Here is a 26705-nt window from a genome sequence, read left to right as displayed (position 1 = left end):
GAGTGGAACTGTACTAAGATTATTGAATCTGCCTGGCATTTTTGAGATTGCCTAAAGACCTGAAAATATAAGTCTATTTAGTATAGATTATTGCATTCATTTGGTTTTCTTTATTTTTGTTACGTGAGATAAAGATAATCAGTCATGGTTGGCTAGAATTATGATAGAATAGAACCAAGCTCTGTTTTTCTTAACATTTGGAACCTGTCTGTTGTAATTGATGCACATGCCAACAATGGTCAATAACTATTGATGGATCTATTTTTAAAGATGTTTAATAAGTTGTCTTTGTGGTCATTGTGAGAGGGATGACTTAAGGTTCACCCTGAATGATAGAACAATTTGAAACTAATTTGATCAAAAAAAGAATTTGTCAATCCAATGATATTAGATAAAGTAAATGAAAGAGACAGAAATAGGTTTTCCAGACACAAAATGAGTGTCTTAATCATTTGTTCAGCCAATTTCAACCACTCTTGCTACCTAAGTAATAGGTGTGACAGATCACTCTGCTGTCTGCTGGCAGCCAGTGGAGATAGCACAGCTGTGTACAGGAGCACAACCTTATTTGCTTCTCTGGAAATTTGAATTTGAAATTTTCAGGAAAGAAGTTTCTGCATTTTACCCACATGTAACTGTGATATCGTGGTGACTTGCTTGTGCTGTTAAAGACTCTAAACATGAGTTCTCTTGGCTTTCTCTGGGTTCAGATCAAACTGTGTGGCTCCCCTGCTTACTGGCTATGCAAACTTAGACAAGCTATTCACCTTCTTTTAGCTTCCCTTTCCTTATCCATAAAGAGGGGCCAAAAGAGTAGCTCCCATGGTGCTTATGAGGTGACTTAATGAAAGCGTGTTTTAATATTTGTCCCTGTGATCAGCACATTCTATTAGCTATTTGCAGTGTTGTTATTTATTACCTAATTCCCTCTTCTTGGATTTTTCAGTACTTTCTTATGGTACTTTTTTCCATTAACACAGCACAAGGGAGGAATGTGTTCTATATTATAGAAATGGCCCAAATGTGTTCTTGTAGGAAGGGTAGAGATAAAACCTTTGATTTTTGCCTGCACATGTCCACTGTGTAAAGAGTAGCACACGTGCACACACACTGTTTTCTGTTGCATTCACTCCAGATTCTGTTGACAAGCTCACTGCTCATTTTCTTAATAAGAGGGTCCTAATTTCAAACAATAGCAACTGTCAGGTTTTCAGTGAACAATGTAATTCCAGATGTGACAAGGAAACCCTCTTTGTAATCGGCCTCTGAGAGGCGTGGGCAGTTGGCTTGGGTATTGGACACAGATCATTTGATTATAGAGTTGTCATTTCTGAACTCTGTTGTTTGAGCTGGGTCAGTTGCTCCATTATGTACTTTGGTTTGCAGAATTTATCACGTCCTCTGCAGACATCTCCCCAGAATTAAAAAGCACCTGCAGAACCTTCTTTTGGAATTATAGGGTATCCATGTGGTGAAACCAACTAGGGGAGATAGAGCCAAGAAAGTAAGTTCTCCTCCCACCCAAAACTAAGTCACAGTTTTGAAATGTATCTCTGATTTTGAACATGATTTTCAATCTATATACAGAGAAATCTCTTTGAAAAGAACTTAGAACCTTTGACTGCTCAATGTTTGCTCTTTGGAGACAAAATAGTGCAGCATGAGATTTTCAGAGGCAGGAGTAGCAAGTACACAGGCCACAGACATCTGTCCTATTCCTTTTGTGCTTTCCTGGAACAGCTGCCATTTGTTGGACACTTTCTATGTGCCAGGAACTGTGCTAAGTGTTCAGAAGTATCTTTGTTTAATCCACCATTGACTTTTGAGGTAAATCCAGGAGAAAGATGTGGTTCAGAGATGTTAAGTAAGTAGCCCAAGGCCACAGAGTAGTAGAGATAAATGAAAGAATTAAGGCTCAATCTTATATCTGGGCAATGCCAAAAGGATCTTAGCCACTTCAAATCTCTGTGATAGGTTGTACTGTCTAATCTGCTCCCTGACTGTGGTTAGTCATACGAGGATTCCTTTTTAAGAGTCTTTAGAGTGTTTGCTTAAAAAATTATAATGTCATTCTGGACTTAAATATTTTCTGCCTTTTTCAGTCTTTTAGAACCAAATGGCAAATTCTAGGACAACCATCTTCCTATTTAAAATCGATGACCCATTTCTATTTTAAGCATTAGGAGACTAATTTCTATGATTAAGTTAATGACCACATTGGAAGTGAGAAACTATCTTTTCAATTTCTGGAGTTTGCTCATCTGTTCCAAAAGATGTGTTTAAACTGACAAATGTCCAGATATGCCAGTTGACTGGACCCATTTTTCAACTCTAGAATATTAAGTTGTTGACTAGGCACTAGAAAAGAAGTCACGGGTACCTTCTTTTCTAGTACCCTCCTCGGCCCTCCATCAAAGCACATACCACGTGGCTGAATTTTCTGCTTAGATGATGCACTTGCGTTTGTCTTTGTGTCCCTGGTGCCTAACACACCCTCGGGCAAAAAGTAGGCATTCAACAAATGTTTGTCAAATTAATAACTGAGTAACTTAAAAGCTTAGTATTTCCCCTGTTTTATCTAAAGATAATCAGGCCACATATCTCAGTTTGCAGATTTTGAAAAGAGATGGCGTTTCTATGAAACTTAATGCGGTCTCCTCACATCCACCCACCCTTCTGCCCTATACAAATGTATGACTGTGCACCAATTTGCATTTTTTTAATCTTCGATTTCCCAACTCTTTGGTAATATTTTCCTGGTTCATTTTCATTTAAATGGTAATTTCCAGCTTTGTAAGGGGAAAGCATTTCCTAGGCATTCAATTTGCATCGGTCCGCAAGACTCAGTATATACAAATGCCAAGTTGTATCAACATCTGCAAATTGGACCTGTCTTGCATTTTAGTAGCTTATGTCTCCTACAAGTCAAAGACTTCTTTAAAACTTGCTAAATGTTTTTTCTTTTTGATTTAGAAGAAAAGGGGGGAAAACCTGTCTCTTTGTTTGCAAACAAGTAACATGTGGAGCAAAAACTATGAAATTAATGTCTCTTGATGTGCAGCCAAATCTGAACAAAACATAAACTTTGAGTAATTAGCCTGTATGTGTTTGTGTGCATGTGCATGCCTCTACCTCAGTCTGGAACTGTTTGTGGTATATGTAAGCCTTCTGCCCTGATGACATCATTATTTAAATTAGTGACCACATGATTCCTTGAATTAAACAAAAATCTATTTCAAATATTTCAAGTTTGTAGTATTCTATCAAAGTTGGTCTTAATAGCTACTTCTAGGACTAATTATTCACTTTAGAGTGTGGTGTTACATAAGTTTGCCTTGACTACGTGTATCAGGGAAGCTTTAAAATTAAGTTGAATAACTGTTGTTCTGCCTGAAAGGATTGTTTAATGACAAAAAAAACCCACAACCTAGTCCCTTCTTTCACCAAGTAAAATAATATGGTGCAGTGGGCCTTTCCACAACAGATTCTTGTTCAGACAGAACTATTACCTGTTTAATAAAGTTTTGGCCTTTGATATGAAACCTTAGGAAGTTCTGTAGAGCATGGTTGAGTTTTCAGAAAGGCACATACATCCCCCAGTGCCATTGTACCACCACATTTAAAGAAATAAAATCATCCGCCTTAGATAGTGAGCTCTTAGGGATCAGGAGCTGTGTTACTGCTTTCACAGGTTAAGTGCTGAGAAAGATGGGCCAGCCCAGAGATAGCAATTGAGTGATAGTTGTGTGCAGTTCAAAAACCCAACTGCATTTTCATTAGGAACAAGGAGAAGATAACATGCAGATTTTATTTTATTTCAAGGAGAGCAAAACAACACTATTGTACTGAAAATGAAACATTAATTTTCATCCATTTTTGCTTGTGTAATAAGATGGCCTAGGAACAAAATGAGAAAACCGTAAACATTTAAGATAGGAACTAGGCATTCAAGGCAAGTTTAACCTATATTTTCACTAAAATCTAATTTAATAGTGATTTAGAATAAAGGCTGCATTTTGTTAAGTTTTATTTTCTTGCATAAAATACCAGTAGATAAAGAAATGCTGTTCATGTAGAAAAATACACTTATAAAATAATAGATACTTTTTTTTTTTTGGTTAGGATATACAGTTTTAATTGGATTTAAAGCATTTTTATGAGTCTTTCTCTTTTTGCCTAACTCAGTTGTTGAAAACACCCAGGCTCTTCAAGAATATGCTCTTCTTGCCCTAAATGTTCTTTTATTTTTCAGAACTGCCTGCTGGTTGGGAAAAGATTGAAGACCCTGTCTATGGTATCTACTATGTAGAGTAAGTGCCCATTCACAATCCACACATTAGTTTATACCTCTCTATAATTATGTACATTTGTGTTAAGTACAGCCTGACATCATTATAAGGCACAAACCAATTAACAATATTAATTTTATGATGAAAATATGTATGCATATATTAATGAATGAGAAAATATTCAATAAATCTGAAAATAGCAAATCATATTATTAAATTCACATGGGCAGGATCCATGTCTTTTGTTCACCACTGCATCACAAAGGCCCAACATCGTCCTGGTATATGGCAGGTACTTAATGAGTATTAGTTGAATGAATGAATGAATGAGAAAAGCCAGGATTCAGTAGACCAGATGAAGAGGGATTGTTTATCTTTACAAGGAGTATCTGATTCGTCTACTTTTTGCTCTACCCAGATCTGAACTCCTTAGCAATTACTTCTTTATTCATTCATACATTTCAAAAGGTTCAGCCACGGTAATTTATGAAATGTTGCCAGGATTGAGGAGAAAATGGAGAACTAGCCTAGGATGCAGACTTTGTGTGTTTCTTTGTTTCTCTCTTGCCTGAGGTTCTGGTTTCCCATTTTTAAAAGTCTAAAACCCTCGTGACTTTACTGTGTGCCTTATTCTAGCATTGGGCTCCCACTTTTTCCTTTCATCAAAACTGTTGATGGATAGGATGATATTAAAAGAAACCCAAAGGTTAGGACATTGAAAAAAAAAAAAAGCTTTGTATTATGTAGTTTCCTCAGAGAAAAATGAGAGGTAACTAATAAAAGTCCCTTCAAAAGAAGCAAATGCCATATAAATGTTGTAGAAACATAATCGTACCTGCCACACTGAAGATGTAACTGTCATATTTTCTTTCCTTTATGCTGCTGGTGATGAAAAGTCATTTGTATAATACCCTGGTGATATGAACACAAGATGAAAAAAGTGCCAGGCCATAAAATAGATGCCCAGCATCTTACTGTAGAAATTATGAGTTCAATATAGCAAGTGTCCTTGGCCAGTACTAACTTTTACCTCCACTTTGCCTAACAAGAGGGATTGGTAATATGGGGCATCAGAGAGGCAAACTTGGCTGCCCCTCTGACCCTCAGAAAATAAATTTCTTTTGTGTGCCCCAAAGATCATCTTTCTCACAGATGTACTGTGGGGTTTTTGCTATTTGAAGCTCATTTTGAATTGTCCCTCAACTAGTTTATGCATTAAGAGAGAGCAGGAACAGATGACAAAAGCTTTTATGGGTGAAGACACTAGTTTGAGGGGCAAGTTATTATCTTACCACACACTTCTCCATCTGTCTTTTCAGATTCATGTGCCTGTTAATGGTAGACCATTTCTTAGAATGAAATTGCTACAAGAATTAGGAAATAAACATGTAGGCCTTTAATAGAAATTAAGAGCAATCAGTCTATCCTTTCTATTGATAAACCTGCTTAAAAAAATAAAGCCTAGCTTTTTAAAAAACTTAGAGTTCTAAATAATCACAATACTATGCTCCTAAATTTCTAATAAACTATTATTTTGAATTAAGAAAAATAAGTTCAGGCATGGTGGCTCATGCCTGTAATCACAGCATTTGGGGAGACCAAAGCAGGTGGATCACTTGAGGTCAGGAGTTCGAGACCAGCCTGGCCTACATGGTGAAACGCCATTTCTACTGAAAATACAAAAATTAGCCGGGTATGGTGATGCACGCTTGAAATCCCAGCTACTCAGGAGGCTGAGGCAGGAGAATTGGTTGAACCTAGGAGGCAGAAGTTGCAGTGAGCCAAGATCGCACCACTGCACTCCAGCCTGGGTGACAGAGAGAGACTGTCTCAAAAAACAATAAATAATGTATATTTATACGTATATGCTTGTGTGTGTGTATATGTGTGTGTGTGTATATATATATACACACATATGTACCATATATATGTACATATATGTGTATACATATATATGTATACATATGTATATATGTATATGTATACATGTACACATATACATATGTATACATATATATGTGTATATATATAATTAGTTTTGTAGCCATCTAAGTGTTTGGATCTTTGTCATTTTGAGCACATCACATCTACTTAGGTTAACTTTATTTGGATTCTCTCTGCCTAAGGCCTGTACTTTTAATTGTGCCTCTATGTTTAGTGATCAAAATAGTTAACAGATGTGAGTGGAGTTCTTTGTTTAACTTCATTGTTTGGATGAATGCTTATGCTTCTGTGAACCCTACTGCAGACAGTTACACAGCAGTTCTGGCATTGTATGTTACAGACAATGTCACATAGCCACTTTAATCTTATGTCTCAATAATTCCTTAATCTACTTCTTATTGAATTAAAGCAGCTTCCCCTGTCAGGTGGTATCTTGGACATTTGGAGTGGGGTCAGTGGTTAAAATCCTGGGATTTGAAAGCAGGCAACCCTGAGCTTGCATGCCTGTTTCCTGCTTACTAGCTATATTATGCTAGATGAAGTATTTAACTGCCCAGACACTTACTTTCCTTATTCATAAGATATGAATAAAAATAGGACTTACCTCCTGGCATTTACTGAGGACTTTTAAATAAAATGCATATAAAACTGGTAGCCCAGTGCTTAGTGCATATAAGCAGTCAGTAATGGAAACTTCATTTTTATTTCCTCTTTCTAACTGAGCATTTTAACACACGAGGGTTAGCATCTCAGACCACCTGCTCTGCTCAGTTTGATTCCAGGGACTTGGTCTGATTGGCATTTTGCTGGTGGGATGAACTGTTTCAAGCTGAATACTATTTGCTATCTTCCCCAGCCACATCAACAGGAAGACACAATATGAGAACCCGGTTCTAGAAGCCAAACGGAAGAAGCAGCTTGAGCAGCAGCAGCAGCAGCAACAGCAGCAGCAACAGCAGCAGCAGCAGCAGCAGCAGCAGCAGACAGAAGGTTGGCCTCTTTCCTCTAGGCTTTTTCTTGATCAGGGGAGCATGGGGTGAAATCTGAGCGCTGACACCCTCGTGTGGTCAGAACTGGCCTCGATGATTGAGTCCTCTCTTGCCACACTGAAGAGCTGATGTCCTGTGGGGAGGAAGAGAACCCCCTCTCCATGTTCCTCTGGATGGCCAAAGTGGAGATCCTAATTCAAAGTCACTCAAATCTCCATTTTAATTTAGAAAGGAGCATCATTAGATCAGAGAACTTTCTGATGGGGGAGGAAATTTCTTGCCCCCGCAGTATTTGCATTGCAACTGGTAGCTAAATCCAAACCACTTTTAGCATTTTTACTTTAAGTGGAGTTACTGGGCATGAAACTAACTTTTAATTTTAGGAACATTACATGTAAAGAATCAGAAAGAGCTGGTAGTTTTGGGTGCTTTTAAAAATTACAGACTAATTCATGCTCTTTGTAAAAATATGGGCAATTCGGGAGTATAGAACATTAAATTCTCCCCTGGTTGCCCCCTTCCCATTCTCAGAGATAAGCCCTGTGCAGAAATTTTCTAGGGATATAGATATACGCATATTTTAACAAAAATCTGATAATAATTTATACGTATATAGTATGTATGTGAGACCTGTTTTCTCACTTTTTATTTCTTGCACATATTACTAAGTTGGCTAATATAGATTTAGCTTATACTTTTTAATGGTGACGTAATATTCCATTTCATGAATGCCTCTGCTTTATTTAGCCATTTGTTTATTACTAGATACTCTGGCTTTCCCCAGTTTTTCATTGTGATCTTTTAGAATCATAGGCTTAATACTCCCATCAATATAATATGTGAATATCAAATAGAATATCAAGTATAATGCTTCTGTTACTATAATATTGAATATAACAAATGTAAACCATAGACTACAGGTTGGCAAACTTTTTCTCTAAACAGCCAGATAATAAAGATTTTAGGCTTCGTGATTTAAACAGTCAATCTCTGTTAGAACTACTCACCTCAGCCATTGTAGTATGCAAATAGCTGTAGACATTATGTAAATGAATAGGTGTAGCTGTGTTCAAATAAAACTTTATGGGCACTGTAATTTCAACTTCATGTAATTTTCATATGTCACAAAGTATTCTCCTTTTTATTACTTTTCAACCATTTGAGAATAAAAGTTATTCTTGGCTCACAGGCTGTATCCAAACAGGAATTGGCCCCAGTTTGGCTAGTGGGCCATAGTTTGCCAACCACTGCCCTGGACTGTACAATTTAGAGAGAGTAGGTATGTATGTCTGTGTACATTCACCCATTGAAATGTTATCTACCTTAGTCTCTTTTCTAGCTAAAAAGAACTCTTCTCATATACATTTAGTGGGTACAAGTGCAGCTTTTGACACATGGGTATATTAAGTGGTGGTGAAGTGTGGACTTTTAGTGTAACCATTACCCAAATAGTATACATTGTACCCATTAAGTAATTTATCATCCTTCATCCCCCTCCAACCCTTCCGAGTTGCCATGGTCTGTTATTCCACACTTCATGTCCGTAAGTACACATTATTTAGCTCCCACTCAGAAGTGAGAACATGTGGTGTTTCACTTTCTGTTTCTGAGTTGTTTCACTTAAGGTAATGGTCTCTAGTTCCATTCATGTTGCCGCAAAAGACATAATTTTATTCTCTTTTTTATGGCTGAACAGTATTCCATGGCATACATACCACATTTTCTTTATCCAGTTATCCACTGATGGACACTTAGGTTGATTCTGTATCTTTGCTGTTGTGAGTAGTGCTGCAGTAAACATACAAGTGTAGGTATCATTCTGATAGAATAATTTCTTTTTCTTCAGATACCCAGTAGTGGGACTGCTGGATTGTATGGTGGTTCTATAGAGGTTGCAGTAATTTACATTCTCATCGACAGTGTATAAGCATTCCCTTTTCTCTACATCCTTATCAACATCTGTTATTTTTTGTCTAAAAATTTTTTAATGTATCTTTCCTGAGCTGATGAAACTTGGTAGTGTTAGAAAGTGCAGTTTGCAAATGAGAATGTACAATTGAATATGTTAGCTGAGCTGGAAGTGATTCTGGGGTGCCATCTCAAGGGTCACTCACTGTGAGTTATGTCTGGCCTTCCAAGGTGAATAAGACTACAATTAGGACCCAGGAGTATTTGTAATAGGTCTCATTTGGATTCAGAGATAACAGAAGAGCACACCCTTAGCAAACTGCTGAAATCTACCTTCATCTTCCTCCCTACCTAAGACAAGCTGGCCTCAGCAGCCCAGCTCATGTCTGAATCAGATTAGAGAAATTTCTCCCTTATACAGCTGCCATTAGTTGACTGTATGTCTTTCCTGACATTTTTTAACTGACTTCACTTTGGACTTTCCAGCCAGAGAGAACTGGAGTTCTTATTCATTATATCGTAATATTTCTTTCCCAAAACGTCTTAGACAAGAAAAAAAAAAAAAAAGAGCTTCATAGAATGAGGTCAGATAACAACTTCTTTTTAATCTAAGCTATCTGCCCTTGGTTTATTGCCTTGAGTATTATTAATAATAAGGTGAATCATAAGTAACTCAATGAGCCATTTGAAGGAAAAATAGGAAACTTTCTTTTCTTTTTCATAGAATGGACAGAAGATCACTCAGCCCTTGTGCCTCCTGTTATTCCAAACCACCCTCCAAGCAATCCAGAGCCAGCCAGAGAAGTTCCACTTCAGGGTAAAGTACTTGTCTTTCTAATTGTGTCATGGTTTTAGCTCAAAATCTAATTTTTTTTAAGGTATTTTGAAAAGTGGAATCTCGTAACTCCCAAGTCATTCCTTTGATAGTGAAAACCATAAATAATGAAAACAATGATAAATGTATTGTTAGACTTGTCAAGAAAAATTAGGAATCTTCCTGAATAATTTTTTTCCAACTATTTGTAATATTTTAAAAATAAAGACTACTTGTTAAATGATCATTCAAACCAACGTTTCTCAATCTCAGCACCATTGCCATTTTGGGGTAAGTAATTCTTTGTTGTGTGGGTTTGTCCTGGGCATTGTGAGATGTCCCCTGGCCACTAGATGCCAGTAGCACACAGCCCACCTCTCATTGTGACAAGGAAATTGTCCCCAGACATTGCCAGATGTCTCTGGGGAGCAAACCCATCCCAGAGATAGGAATCACTGACTTAGAGACCACAGATATTTAATAGTATGTTAAAAAAGATAAATCTGAAACTCAGCATTAGATATTTCAAGAGTCTAGCCAACATATTAGGTTTTGTCTAAGACTTTCCTATAAATGAAAATGGTTTGATATTGTGTTTTCAGTTCTCATTCCCTATTCTTGCTGCAGTTTTGGTATTTATGCATGTTTACAACGTTTCAATAGGTCTTGTTTGTTTACATTCACACATAGGATGAGGCCTTTATAGAGGATTATTCTTGAAAATTGGAAGCTCCAGAACCTTGCAACTTTCAGGCCTCATTACTCTTAAATTATAGAAAATATTTGTGTTTAGTTTTCTTTTTCTTTTAAACAAGCATCATGTTTGACAGAGTTGGGGGATGTTTGTGGTACAGAAACAATAAAAATACTATAAAATTTGTCTTCCTTTCTATATTTTAAAAGATTTAATTGTGTTACATATAAAAAGATAAGTAGAATAATAATTCATTTCTTTAATTTTAATTCATTATAATTTTCATAAGAAAGAAATTGTTTCTCTGCTAGCTGACATTGTCACTAGATTAGAATTAGTATCAATTTATGTAAAATAATTTCTTCTGGCATGAATGCACTTTTTAATGGTGATAATGGCTTTAATAAAGATGGGATATAGTAGATAATAATGTTGATTAGTATCAACATGACTGTGGAGTCCTCAGTTTTGTGGGGTTTTTTGTAAACATAAAATTCCTTCTGTAGGCTCATGCCTTCTTACCTTCCCCTCTCTCACAGTAAGTTAGCCTCCTTTCAGTTCTTTTAACCAGCAAAACTGTGAACCGCTTCTGAGCCTTTGCAGAGGCTGTTCCTTCTGTTTGCAGTGGCTGTTCCTTCTGTTTGCAGTTGTCTTTTCCTCCTACTTCTTACTCTGCTAACTCCTGTTCACCTCAGGTCTTTGCTAGATTCCCCTACCATGTTTACTCTTAACCATCCTGTACTTCACATTTATGAAATTTAACCATTATAACTAGTGTTCATTTGTGTGCTATTATTTAACAATAGTTTCCTCATTAGACTTTAAATCCCATGGAGGCAAGAGACTATGATTCTCTGTTTTTTGTTTTTTCACTGTGAGATAATCCCAAACTAGGCATAATCCCTTGATATACATTTTCTGATGACATTATTATTGAGTGAAACAGTATCCATCCATCTTCCATCCATCCATCCATCCATCCATCCATCCATCCACATATACATATAGAATAGCCAACCAGACTTTCTTACATAATTATCTTAGAAATTAAATAAATTAAAGCTGTAAAGGTTCAGGTTCTGAGTGCCAAATGCTTAGTGCACCAACTAAGACTTGAGACGGTATTTGTCTGTATTAGACACTTCATCTCAGATTCTTACTTTTCTTTAACTCAGCCTTTTTTTCTTTTTCTTTTTTTCTCTTCTTCCTTATTTCCTTATATCTCTTCCTTCTTTCTTTAGTCATCTAATGATTGACTAAGACATCCACTGGTTCTTCATTCAGGCTGCTATAACAAGTTGCCATAGACTAGGTGGCTTAAACACCAAACATTTATCTATCAGTTCTGGAGACTGGGAAGTCAAAGATCAAAGTGCTGGCAGATCGAGTGTCCAATGAGGGTCCACTTCGTGGTTTATAGACGGCCATTTTCTCACTGTATCCTCATGTGGTGCAGAGTAGAGAGAGAAAGTACTAGTTCTCTTCCTCTTGTAAGAATTAGCCCATCATGTGGGCTCCACTCTCATGGTATAATCACCTCCCAAAGGCCCCACTTCCAAATACCATTCAATAGTGTCTGAAGGTTCAGGCTCACTGAACTCTCCTTGAGATTGACTCGTTTATTCTTACCACCCTTCTACTGTGTAGTCTCTCTGTTGATCCACACGTTTCAAGCACTTTTATAATCTTTGGAATATAACTGATACCAAAGAAACCAGTTAAAATCCATACCATTTGGCTCCAAGCTGTGATTTCAATAAACATTAACCTAGACTTTAGCCTCATTGGTTATAACTCTGGGTTACCTGCCTACCGGTTAAGTGTCTTGATTAGCCATCTAGTGTCTAGTGTCTTGTATCTTGGGCAGTATCTAGTGTTGATAGACTGTCAGGAAGAAGCCATATAGCTAATTTGGTTAGATTGTTTGGTAGTAATTTTGCCAAGTTCACAGGCCAACTAAATTCTCCCCTGATCAAGAGTGTACTTCTAATCTTAGCAAGTGATAATTTGGAGATTTGCTCTTATGAAAACTCTCCAGCTTCAAGCTTATGCTTGGAGAGAGATTTTTGCAGCTACCCCTCCACCACACTCACTCTATCACCACCGCCATCAAAACAATAACTCACTTATTGAGCTCTTATTATGTGCCAGGTACCTTCCCAGGCACTTTACCTACATTATCTGCCATGGTTGTTTCTCACAACTATCATGTGAAATAGGTATCATCATTACCTCCATTTATACTTGTGATACTCAGGCAGAGAGGTTTAGTAACTTGCCCAAGGCCATATAGCCACTAAGTAGCAGAGCACAGATTTGAACACTATACATGAGGAATAGTTTAACTTCTGTTTGAAAGGTTTTTGGTTGTTTTAGTTTTTGTGGGATACCTCATTTGTGTAGTCTAAATCTATGCTGTTCGGTATGGAAGCCAATGGTTACATGTTGCCATTTAAATTTAAATGAATTACAGTTAAAAAATCAAAAAATTAAGTTTTTCTGTCTCACTAGCCATATTTCAAGGGCTCAGTGGCTACATGTGACTAGTGGCTGCCATATTGAACAGTGCAGGTGCAGAGCATTTCCATCATCACGGAAAGTGCCATTAGACGGTACTGGTCTAGGGTATTTAAACACTAGTGTCAAGAAGTGACATTTCTTTCCCCTCCCCCCATCCTGGCAGGGAAACATGCACCTAAGGTTCATTCAGGTGCAGAGTTTTGGGCCAAGACCCAGAACATCCTGATCAGTGAGTCTAAGGAAGGAAGTGAAAATGAGTACATTTTAAAAAGCTACCCAGGGGATTTTCCCTGGGTAAGACACAACCAAGTCTTACCGCTGGTGACTGGTAAACAGAGGTTAGGATCTTAGAAAATTACATGTACCACAGGGCTGCAGCTGAGAGCTCCAAATTCCACTGCTTATGGGGTGAAAAGCGTTTCTTTCCAAAAGCTACATTAACTAATGATCCACCCATACGTAAAAAATAATAAAATGTGCATAAATGTGAAACCCTCTGATTTTCCTTCCCTTGTTAAACATTGGAAAAGGAAGTCAGTCGTATAATTTCAAAGCTCTGCTCATGTCTTTATTAAGTTAACATTCTCAGCACAAAATATGCTAATGTATTTTTTTTTAAGTAGATAAACTGCCAGGCACATTTTCACGTTTTCTAACTTAGCCTATAATAAGAGTGAAAAGCTCCAACAACCAAACACCTCTTTTCAGCCTTCTCAAAGACATGATAAATATCATTTCTGTGTGCTTTTATTTGTTCATTCATTCTCTCACTCAACAGAAATTTTTGGAGCACATAAAATGTACCAGACAATATTCTAGATACTTGATATACGTATAAAAATCCTCATGGAGCTAACATTCTAGTGGTTTTATGTACCTGCATATCAATGCCACTCATGCATGGGAGTTGGGGATAGTAAGAAAACCAAAGCAATAAGTAAGATGTATATTCTTTTGGAAGGTGGTAAATGCTAAGGACAAAAATAAAGCAGGAAAAAGGGATTGGGAATGTTGGAGGTACTGCAATTTTTAGTAAGGTGGTTAGGGAAGGTCTTGCTGCGAAGGTAATGGCTGTTGATGTCTCTGCATAACTGAAATGTGTTTCCCTTCAGGGCCCTGGAATGCCCTAGCAGCACCTGCTACAAGAGTGTAGGCCAGTCACCCTCCTCCCCCTAAAGTAAACTTTGGGGGTTATCTTACCTCACCTCAATTTCCATCTGATAATTGTCTTGGCAGCTGTCTCCCCAAAGCTCTTGGTGCAAGTGACACCACCCTCCCAACGCCTTGGCAGATGACTTTGCGTGGCGAATCCTTGTAAGTCTTGCCTTTCTTTAGCCACTATGACAGGGCTGTAGTTTGTCAACCTTCCAATAAGCTTTGGGACTGCGCTAGAGAGCAGGTTAGCGAAAGGACCTCTGATTGCAGGCAATTTAAAAGAGCCTTCTTTGCAAGAGCCAGAAACTTTTAAAATATGCAATTAAAAATTGTATGCATGCCCAGAGACCTTTTAAACTCTTTTAGATATAACTAACCAAAAATAACTTTCTTTCCTAGGTGCCAGGCTCCTAGTACAGGGGTGTAGGGGACTAATGTCTCCCTCTTTCTCTCTCTCTTTTTGTTTTGGATAACATTTTTGATAGAAAAGAAACAGGGCAGATGGAGAAGCTGTGTGTGGCAAGGACAGGGTATAAGAAGTAAGTAAAGTTAGAAGAGATGAAAGAAGCTGCTCATGAAATTAGGTCTACTACTTGGGATAATCAGAGAAGTTCCAGTAAGTTTCTCAATTACAGAGAAGTGCCTAGTAAAACCCAAAAGAAAACGTTTTGGTTTATGTTCAAAATGTTATTTGTGAATGTATCAAGAAAACTCAATAAAACCTTAGGTAGCATGTTTGGAAATAATTTAGCGATACCTCTATCTGTAAATTTATTTTATTTTTATTATTTTTTTGAGACAGAGTTTTGCTCTTGTTGCCCAGGCTGGAGTGCAATGGCGCAATCTCAGCTCACTGCAACCTCTACCTCCTGGATTCAAGTGATTGTCCTGCCTCAGCCTCCCAAGTAGCTGGGATTACAGGCATCCACCACCTCATCTGGCTAATTTTTGTATTTTTTTTTTTTAGTAGAGACAGGATTTCACTATGTTGGCCAGGTTGGTTTTGAACTCCTGACCTCAGTGCTCCACCTGACTCAGCCTCCCAAAGTGCTAGGATTACAGGCATGAGCCACCACACCCCCAGCCTAATTTATTTTAAATAAGACAGCTGAATTTGGAGCTGTGTGGCTACTGTTAGTAACTACTTAGTTTAGGGATTTTGTGTGTGTGTGTTGTGGGGGGGGTTTCTTTGTTTGTTTTTTTGGTTTGTGTTTTTTAAACAAATATCCTAAACTTGTTTTAAACAGTAATTCTTAGCCCTAGGCATGCGTTGGCTATATCACAAATTTAATAAAAGATCAGATAAATAGGAAAAAATCAGTTGAATTTAGAATTCAATTCAAAGTAATGACCCTTAATTTTGAAAATAGTCATTCTACATTTTTGTCAAATTATTATTTGTGACTATAATATGTTTTCTGGTATTATCTGTGCATTTTCAGCCTGGATTTTCCGTTTGATTAGTTCTGTTGGTTTTTCAAGTGGAAGCCAGGCCCAAAGCAGCACATCAGAAGCCATATAGCAAAATAAAATTAAAACAAAACAAAAGACATAAAACAGACCAGTTCCATTTTCTGTGAAGGGGTTTGTGGCAGCTCAATTCCTGTCAAAGTGCATGAATGGAAACCAAGAAGTGTGTCACCTGACAGGGACTAGTTTCATCCCTCTCTTGTAGTTTCTTTTGGACCCTGGAGTTGACATACTCAATGCTTTACCTCCCTCCATCAACACTGGGGCCTAGGAACATCCTTATTCCTCAAATTAAGAGAGGACTTTCTTAAGATGCTATATGCCCAAAGGCTCTAGGGCATAAGCGTGAAGAATTATCTATATGTTGTCTCAAATCTTGTTTAATTCTCCTTTTCACCAGTGGTGACATTCCTTATGCGTTTCTTATTTTAATCCAGGCAAACCCTTTTTTACACGAAACCCTTCTGAGTTGAAAGGCAAGTTCATTCACACAAAGCTGCGGAAAAGCAGTCGTGGCTTTGGCTTCACGGTGGTTGGAGGGGATGAACCTGATGAGTTTCTCCAGATCAAGAGCTTGGTCCTAGATGGTCCTGCTGCATTGGATGGCAAGATGGAAACAGGTAGCGTCAACATGGCCTTAGTGTGTTCTGTGTGGTGAGACTCCAATCCAGGAGATAAACATGTGCAATCATGATGTTGTTTGTTTGAGCAAGACCAAGCAACGTCATGATTGCACATGTTTACAGCTTTAAACACCTTGAGAATGAGCCAGGTCTCCACATTACATAAATTCATCCCTTGGGACAGATTAAAACCTGTGAAGTCATTTTAAGTTTGGGAAACTGTTTGAGTACAGTAAAGCAATGAGTTACTAAAACTGTAGATCCCCATTTAAATAAATGAATTCTAAACTTGGATTTCTGCAGTGAGATTTTTTTTTAGGAGAAAGCTCCAATGTTCTGTGAGTGATTATTACATTCTCATTAGCAGGGAAGACACTAGGTGCTGAAAGAACACTTTATTAGCTGTTAAAATCAGTAATAGAAGCACTTTATACCCTATAGTATCACACCCACATGCAGTTTCAGTTCAGCTTTATGTTAGTGGGAGATATTATAATACTGATGACAATTTTCTGGGTGCTGTTTTCTTAACCCCCACACTCTTGCCTTCTACAGGGGATGTGATTGTAAGTGTGAATGACACCTGTGTTTTGGGACACACACATGCTCAAGTTGTGAAGATCTTCCAGTCCATCCCCATTGGTGCCAGCGTGGACCTTGAACTCTGCCGAGGTTATCCATTGCCTTTTGATCCAGATGACCCCAATACAAGTTTAGTGACCTCGGTAGCCATTTTGGATAAAGAACCAATTATTGTGAATGGGCAAGAGACCTATGATTCACCAGCTAGCCACAGTAGTAAAACAGGCAAAGTCAATGGCATGAAGGATGCCAGGCCAAGCAGCCCAGCGGACGTGGCTTCAAATAGTTCTCATGGTTATCCTAATGACACTGTTTCTTTGGCTTCCTCCATAGCCACTCAGCCAGAACTCATAACTGTTCATATTGTCAAAGGGCCAATGGGCTTTGGTTTTACTATCGCAGACAGTCCTGGTGGGGGTGGCCAAAGAGTGAAACAGATTGTTGACAGCCCAAGGTGCCGAGGCCTGAAAGAAGGGGATCTCATAGTGGAAGTTAATAAGAAGAACGTGCAGGCCCTAACTCACAACCAAGTGGTGGATATGCTGGTTGAGTGTCCTAAGGGAAGTGAGGTCACATTGTTGGTGCAACGAGGAGGTAAGTAGGGTTGTTTTGTTCTTTGAATTTTTTTTTTATCCCAAATTCATTGCTTAACTTACTCATCTTCAGATGACCACTGGGGGCTTTTTAAATTTATTTAAATGTTTCAAAATGCCTACTGATTTCTCCAAATACTAACCTCTTTAGCATAAAAATTGTGGTTTATACATTATGACAGACATATGCAGTTAGAATGATACCTTAAAACAGAAATCAGATTTTGCCTTTTTAAAATGTTAAGATTTAAAAACCTAAGTTGGGTGTGGTGGTACCCACCTGTAGTCCTGGCTGCTTGAGAGGCTGAGGCAGGAAGATCACTTGAGCCCAGGCATTTGAGTCCAGACTGGGCAACATATTGAGACCCCATTCTCTAAAAAGTTTTTTTATATATATATAAAAAATAATAACCTTTATCCTTTAAATCTCCTGAACTTGGCCTGCATAGCCTGCAAAATGTGGCTATGGTCACTCCAAACTTGTCTCATGTTCCTCTCCTCCATCTGATGGTGCTTTAGCCACACTGGCTGCTTTTATGGAGCTCCTTTAATGCTTCAAGCCTTTTCTTGCCTCAGGCCCTTTGTATTTACTGTCCGTTCTGCCTGGAATGGTCCTTTCCCAGCTCTTCCCAGCTGGCTCAGTCCCATTCAGGTCTCCTTATGAGAGAGGGCTTCTCCCATCACTTTATCTAAAGTAGCTCCCAACACTTCCATATAATCTTTATCACAGTTTTTCATAACCTTGATCATCATCACCTTTTTAGCACAAGACGTTATTTCATGCTTTTATTTATTTTTCATTATTTGTCTTTCATTAGAATATAAAGCTCCATAAAGCCAGGGCCCATGTGTGCATGTGGACAGCTGTTATCCCCAGCATTTAACACAACACCTGACTCCTTTTAGGTATTTATGAATGAATAGGTATTAAGTGAATAGGTATGTGATTATTTCTATTTGGCAGAAACAAGAGGTCTGCTAATCATATTAAACACTTCCCTCCACATGCTCGCGTTTAGTAGTTTAGGATCTCAGAGATCTGGGTTATTCTAAATCTCGAGGCATTAAGCTTCCTCCTTTCTCCTTGAGTCCGTATCCCACCCTCTGCCTCACCAGAAAACACAGGACGTCACACTGAGCAATACTTTCCACCATATTGAAGTGTCTTGCTCCTGGAATATATACTTATATGTGATTAGTCGTGACTGATAGTTTTACACAGTGGGCCTGAGAATGGCTGTTTCCCTGATCCTTGCTACCATGATTTGTTTCATGAACAACATATTCAGGCCTTTTGAAAAGAGATCAAGAACCAGACTTTGACTTCCTTTTGGTTTGTTGCAACAGGAGAGCTCATTTGTGTCACAGCAGCCAGATTCTCATGTTTTCATGAACCTGTGTGTTCTGCGATCAGAATGGCTGGGGTCATTTGAAGGAAACCCAAAATACAGAGTAGCTGTCTATGTGAATTGAAATGCTCAATGAGCCTGGCTTAGGCAGTTATAAAAGGCATTGTGCAAATTTTATTTTTTTTAAAATGTCATTTCCACCAACTAATTTTCAAGTCTCTTCTTGTACCTAGATCACTTGACTGCTCAGAGAACTGGTTTTAAACAGTAGCCAAGATGTATGTAGTAGGAAATGACTTGGGTATAAGAACGATTATGACAATAATGATGATGGTGATGATGAAACCTGGCACTTATAGAAGAATCAGTGATACACAAAGCACTTTCATACCTGCACGTGCCTCTCCACTGATATTTGTCACTTCCCTGTGAGGTAGGAAGGTGCCACCCCACAGTAGTTCTGAGCTGTTCACCCTGGCTCTGTGGTTTCCAGTCCAATGTTCTGCCCTACTTAACTGAATAACACTGATTTTTGTATAGTTGCTTAATACTGAGGCTGACAGCCTGGAAACTTTCAAATAATTCTTGGTACATCAGGTGCACCTCTGATTCAGCCACTGCTCATTTGACAGACACAAACCACCTTGTTCTCCTAACTCATCTATCCTCTTTCTCATTTCTGTTATTGATGTGGTTTATTATCCCATTAGATTCACTTCTAAGGAGACCAAACATAAAGTTTCATTATAGCCAACTAACTTACACATGTATTAGAACCATATTGTAATGAATTCGCCTAAGCCAGCAAACAACTGATTATAGAAACGTACTCCTTGATTTTATTTTTTATTTTTATTTTTGAGACAGGGTCTCACTTTGTCACCCAGGCTGGAGTGCAGTGGTGCCATCTCAGCTCACTGCAGCCTCAACCTCCTAGTTTCAAGCGATCTTCCTGCCTTAGCCCCCCAAGTAGCTGAGACTATAGGTGCATGCCACCACTCCCGGCTGATTTTTGTATTTTCAGTAGAAATGATTTCTCCATGTTACCCATGCTGGTCTCGAACTCCCGCGCTCAAGGGATCCACCTGCCTCGGCCTCCCGAAGTGCTAGGATTACAGGCATGAGCCACCACACCTGACTATACTCCTTGATTTTAAATATGTTTGCATTCTCTCTTCTTAATTCCCAATGCCATCTTCTCATTAATGGTGTTACATTTTATAACATTTATATGAAAAATCCGGAATATATTGCCATATTCATCAACATCTACATGGTTTATTTCAGAACATGAGTAATTTAAAATCACTGTGACATCAGCAGTCTTTAAAATACACCATATGTCTTGTGTATGATTTATGTATAGGATAGAAAGTTTGTACATCTGCAGTTGGCAGGCTAGCACTAGATACTATTAATCTTTCTGGAAGGCATATAAATATATCTGTTTCTGCCATACATTAGTTGCTTGAATCAGGGCTGACATTTAATCATCTCTTCTGTATAGTGGGGATGTAATGAGAAGGCTTGATGAAGGTGCTTCAAGACAACAGCTAGGTTCAATGAGAAAGTAAATGCCCACTTTACCGATTCTTTCTAATGAATCTAGTTTATTTTGTAACTGCTAGTAAGATGACTGATAAACTCATCTACACTGTTCCATGAGTCTCAGGAATTCCTGTCGTGAGGTTGTGGCTTTCTATGCTTTAAAGAACGGGCCATTTTTACTTTGGGACAGAACTGGCTGCTATGTTTGTAGCACCCATTTTAATTCCTCATCTCTAGAGCTCGTTTTTGACATTTGTTCTTGTCAAGATCTAATACATTTCATTTTTAGTAGTTTTAGTCCATCCCCCTTCCCTCATCTGGAAATCGAGCTGAAGGTTGAAATATCATTTGTAAATGTCCAGGGTCAGACAGTTTCCTGAGTCAGGCTTAGAGCTGCTGTGCAGTGTTCATCCATACTCCCAAGTAGCCGGGACCAGTCCTGATTTGCTTACAAATCTCCTCTTCATCAACATCTCCCTGCTTGCCAGTCGATCACTCAGGTTTTTAAAGGGCAGTTCTTCTCTGTGTCTGGCTCCCCTCTTCCAATTGTGTGTCCTTACTCCTTCTCCCTCTGCTGTCCAGTCAGGAAAGTGCTTTTTACCCTTCTATTTTGAACATAGCATCTGCATTCAGAAATCCTGTCACCTGACATCAGTGTGCATCTAGAGACTTCTTTGAAGTGTTTGGAAAATCAAACTAGTTTGTGGATTTTTATTTTTAATTTGTAAAAGCTATCGAACTTGTCCCATAAGGATTTTTTACTTTTTTTAAAAAAGGCTCATGTAGATAGCGTAACTACCTGTGCCCCTCTGTGTCAAATATTTTGGATATTCGGCAAATTCACACCTATCAGTAGGTGTGACACTCTTTAAAATGTAATTTCATGTTGAGTCACAACACTCCGTTTCAAGAAAAGATTTGGCAGCACTGTATGCAAGTGAAGATCCTATGTTTTACTTTTGAGAGAAGGCATGTATTAAAAAGAAAACTGAACTTGGGATACCAGGAGCTGACCTTGAGTACAAACTCTGCCCGTAAGCTTCTGCATATGCTTCAGAAGGGTACTACTTCTACCCTGACACTTATTTTTTTAATCTAAAAGATGAATGTTTTGAGCTAGAGAATCTTTCAGGCACTCCATTCTGGCTCAAATTTTATGCAAGGGATGACCTTATTGTTGTATAGAGGAAAGACCACAGGACTGTGGAGACAGAGGATGCAAGTTTAAATCCTGGCTTCTGCTCTACTTGCATTGTGACTTTAGGCAAGTCACTTGCCTTCTCTGAGCTTAGTTAGACTTCTGAAAAAAATGGGCATGATGTACATAGATTAAATAAGGTAGCATTTGTGCCAATTCCTGACGTAGTAGTCATCACATGATAAAGCAATAGTGGCAATTGGGTGGGGAAGCATTAATATTTTATTTTTTATAAAAAGTTCTAGCTGGGCCGTACAGATTGTATGATGTTTAGGCATGTGTGTTTTTTTTTGTTTTTTTTTTTTTTTTTTTTTTTTAGAAGTTCTACTGGTAGGTTTTTTTTTTCTTCTTCTCTTGATACAGGGTCCTGCTCTTTTGCCCAGGCTGGAGTGCATGATCATGGCCCATCACAACCTCAAACTCCTGGGCTTAAATGAACCTCCTGCCTTAGCCTCCTGAATAGCTAGGACTACAGGCATGTGCCATCTTGTGAGGCTAATCTCTTTTAAAAAATTGTTTTGTAGAGACAGGGTCTCACTGTGTTGCCCAGGTACCACTGGTGATTCTGATATACAACCAGAGTTGCAAAAAATGTTAGGCTTCTGCCTCTACGGTCCCTTCTAGTTTTGATTCTTTGACCTATAAGTTGGATGAAAATAAGTTTATAAAGCTTATTTTAATATTTTCGTTTCTGAGTAATGTTCAACTTTTAAAGTCTGTTTTGTAAGTGACAGACTTTTCAGTCTTCCCTAAGGTCCATTTCAGCTCCCACATTCTACATTTTTCTACTTCCAAGGAGAATAGAAAGGGGACTTGCTATTGGAGATGCTCATTTAGAGTGCCATCTCCCACTGGCTTTTGCTGATCACAACAGTAATGGAAGTGAAATTGTCCTTTCTAGTTTGCACAGACCATATACTGAATACTTTGGTCAGGCCGCTAAATAATTTCAGGGTCTGATTATACATTCATGAAATGTTAAAATTCCTAGAGAGCAGTAATGTGTTTGACTCTTACTCTTGTGTCTCTGGCACTTCCTGGGGAACCTGGCAAGTGATAAGGTCTCAGTAAGTCATAGCTGAATAAATTAAACTTGATCCACCAGTCACAATGGAAGATTAATCCTCTAGCTTTATAAGCACACTTTGTAACTCTAGAAAAATGATAATGAGAGTTAAAAGGCAAAACTTAGATAAGAAAATGGTGGTGGTGATGGTAATGATAATGTCACTACTGTCATTTCCTGAGTACTTACTATGTTCAAGCTGTGTTACCATGATACATGCAATACACATACATACATTCATGCACACACACATGCCCAAGAAGGTAAATAAAACCTTTCAAGACTTCATTGTTGCAACCACATTGAAACTGCCACCAATTTGCAATGTGATGATGGGTTGGATCCTTGTGAAATGAAGGCAGTGATTGTTAGCTTCTATGCTAGGACAAAATACAAGAAGGAGTTGTTTTTGTTTTCCCACAGCTTAATTTGGTATAAATTAGTATAAAGCAAAGGAGAAAATTCTGTTTTAGTTGGGAAAACCTGCATAAGATTTGGAATGAAAACAATAAATGCTTCTACAGTGTGCCAGGCATGCTTCTAGACATTTTACATATCATAATTCATAAGAGTCCTCTGAAGTAAATACAGTCTTAGCTCCATTTTGGAGAAGAGGAAGCTGAGGCCCAGGGAGTTTCTGTGGTTTACCCAAATTAGCTGGTTAGTGGCAAAGCTAGGATTGGAACCTAGGAAGACTGGCTCCAGACAGTGCTTAAACACTCTGCCCAAAAGCCTCCTGCCTTACAGGCAAGAAATTGCTCCAGTACCATAATTATTGAAGACTATATCTTATGCATAAAGAAATGAGTAAAGCCTGAAGTCTGTGGGCAAAGTAATGCCTCTTAATTCTCATCAAAATTTACTGATGATATTTAGTTCATTAAATCGTCATTGATCCAAACAGAGAAAGCAGTATCTAATCTCGTTAGCTAAGTGCATCATTAGCATTAGCTCTTCTCTGTGTGTGTGTGTGTGCGCGTGTGTGCACGCACGTGTGTTTTTCTGAAATGATACAAAACCATCATAATTAGAACCACGGTAAGCCATGCACAGAGAGTTAAACCCAAGTGATCAGGCACTTCTCCTCTTTGCCCTCTGGTCTTGGACCAGAGAATGAATTGTACATTGTACTGCTTAAGTGCTTGACTGCCACAATGTCTCAGATTGAGCTGTAGGGCCCCAGAAAGGGGAATTCAGGTTGTGTATAGAGTGATATCTTAATAATGTTGGGGTCCTATATGTTCCCATCAGCAAATACTGCCAGTTCTCCCTTCTCAGTGTACTCAAACTTGGTTTACATCTCACCCCATCCCTGGCCTTTACCACCCATTGTAGGGCACCTGGCCTTGCAGTGGCCTCGCAACAGGTCTCAGTGCTTCCTCCAGTCTGCCCTCCAGCTACAGTGCTTTAAAGTACATCAGATCAAGGCAGTTCCTCATGTCAGAATAGCTTCCCATCATTAAGCGTGAACTCCAAAGTCCTGTGTCAGGGCCCTAGCACTTACATCTCCTTCTGTCTGTATTTTTCTTCTCCCAGGTAGCCACAGGACCTCCTCACTCACATCTTTCAGGCCTCGGCTCGGAGGTTATTTCATCCCCTTTCATCTGAGGAGTCTGCCGTGACCATTCCTCATAAATCAAGCAGCATCTCCCACGATCACTGTCTGTTCTCGTGATCTTTCTTATGTACTATACCTACCTGTGATCCCCCTCAGATAAGGGACTTGGTTGCAATCACTACTTTATCCCTGCTGCCTAAAATGGTGCCTAGTCCATTATAGGTATTCAGAAAATCATCTGCATTGAATGAAAAGATGAGTTAATGCAGGACCCTTTGATTTCATAAGTGCTAATCCTGAGAGAACTTTCTGAGGTTGTGAGCATTATAATAGACTGACCACCCCCCAGTCACACAGCTAAAAAGTGACAGATCCTGACTCTGAACCCGGGTCTGTTTGTTTGCCATAGCTGTGTGCTCTGTTCACAGGCTGCCCTAAACAGCTAGTAGATGCATTGTTCATTGTGTCCATAGGCCAAGATGTGGGAGCTTCATGTCAGTGAATCATGTTGGTTCCAAAGCCTGTTCTCCAGCATCTTGTCAAGTAGCCACTATCTCATGATTAAAATTATGTAAGATTTAAATTTCAGTTTCTCAGTCCATCTGTCCGCACTTCAAGAGCTCCATAGCCACATGTGGCGAGTGGCTACGATATAGGACAGTGTAGACAGAGAACATTTCCACCATTGCAGGAAGTACTGTTACGCAGCACAGTTCTAGAGATTTTAATTATTGCACCCTCAGAAGTGAGAAGCTGGATATCCTTTATTTTACCCTTTCTTTTGTTTTTATACATTTGAATAGAAGAAAAATATGAAATTGAAGGCACGTGCATAGTTAATGGATTTATTTTTATGCAGAGAGTGATAAACATAGGTCCTGTTTATTACATCATTTCCATGTTTAGTAACTGCTCTGAGTTCTTTATATGTGTTAACTGGATGTTAGGGGATGCAAGGAATTCACACTCAGAGGATTTAAGACTTGTAAAGTATAAGTGCTTGGGGGCAATCTCCACTTTCTCAATCCTGGCATGGTGTCATCAAGTTTATAAGCGGGTTACAGGACCTCCACCTGGCTGGGAAGCATCTCAGCTTTTATACTAGACTGATGTTATTTAAGGAGCTTAAATTAAATTATTTCATTAAAGTACCTTTAATCTAAAAAATGGAAGAAACCTCAAAACACGAGAAAAACTCAACTAAAATTTTTATATATCAAATATGTATAATCTGCCATATGAGCTATCAGCAAGTTACAATTTGTCAGAAGTCTGTTTTAAAGGGGAGACTTTGAAGTCTCCTTGGTGTATTTATCTGATTCATTGATTCAGTATCTCAAACTCATTGACCTCACTCACCACTATCTGTGGTGCTTGTATTTTCTAATAATTTTGTAAGTTGAGTCCTCTTGTCACATCCAACGTGCTGCCTAACATCTTCTAGCTGTTAAAAGTTGTTCAAGTTAAAATTAGCAAATTTTCTAGCACTTCCACCATGCTAAACAGGATGGCATTCCAATTTGGTATTAAAGGAGCCTTCTGGCCTTTATTCATAATGCAGTTTTAAGTTGCTATTTTGATTTATTGCCATGGTTTAAAGTTATCAGGGATTTTATTTGAGAATTCTTTGTAGAGTGACAGGTCACATTTATATTTGAGATGACTTACAGCAAGAGATGAGATAAATATAAAAATGTTTCTATTTTGATTCTGTCTTTCATTATATAATGCTTAAAAATTATTCCTCACTTTCACATCTTAAGGAATTCTGGTTTCTTTACGGATTTTTGATCTCATGGTTTTTAAACTTAAGCAAGCTTTACTTATTTAACATTTGTATGCAACTCAGACTTTATTGGATGATTTGAGTTTTATTTCTGTTATATTCACAATGCAAAGTGGTTGGCACACCTAAAACTTTTACTTTTGTTCTACAAAGCAATGTCTCATTCTCCTTGAAGGTAAACTTAATGCATTGAGTTACTTACTTATATGCATTATTTATTACAAATGTGTTCGTGTGTGATTTATAGTTCTCATTAAGGTGTGGTGTCATCCCTTCCCCTTTCTGGAAGAGTGGTAGAATTTCATTCCCTTGGCTGGCAGGCTGTAGAATTATTGTTCTGTGCTTTTATTTAAGTGTGGAATTTGAATATAAAGAAGTTGCTTTGTTGTCTCTTTTTGGGGGACAAATTCATTAACATCACGTGCCTGTCATCGTCTAGGCACTGGGAATAGAGCAGCGTCATCTGCAAATGAAACAAACAGGCTCCTGATTTCATGAGGCATTTATTCTAGGGGAAGGGGAGAAAGGGCAAAAATAAACAAATGAACAAAATCATGCCAGCCAAAGAAAAGTGCTGTGAAGCAAATCAGAGCAGGTAAAGTGAACAGGTGTGGCAGGC

The 26705-nt window shown here is 38.4% G+C and overlaps 1 protein-coding gene across 6 annotated transcripts in view; it reads left to right on the top strand.

The window, feature by feature from the left end:
- Positions 1–26705, top strand: part of MAGI1 (membrane associated guanylate kinase, WW and PDZ domain containing 1) — a 685393-nt gene that overhangs the window by 591817 nt on the left and 66871 nt on the right. For all 6 annotated transcript variants that reach the window (NM_001033057.2, NM_015520.2, NM_001365904.2 and 3 more), the window contains exons 8-12: positions 4253–4310; positions 7090–7223; positions 9855–9947; positions 16221–16403; positions 16962–17582. In NM_001033057.2, coding sequence (NP_001028229.1) covers positions 4253–4310; positions 7090–7223; positions 9855–9947; positions 16221–16403; positions 16962–17582 — 1089 coding nt within the window. The remainder of the gene's footprint in view (positions 1–4252; positions 4311–7089; positions 7224–9854; positions 9948–16220; positions 16404–16961; positions 17583–26705) is intronic.

The sequence above is a fragment of the Homo sapiens genome, chromosome 3 (genome assembly GCF_000001405.40).
Source record: "Homo sapiens chromosome 3, GRCh38.p14 Primary Assembly".
Taxonomy (NCBI): Eukaryota; Metazoa; Chordata; class Mammalia; order Primates; family Hominidae; genus Homo; species Homo sapiens.
The sequence above is the reverse complement of the archived record's forward strand: the minus strand, read 5'-3'. Positions and strand labels throughout refer to the sequence as shown.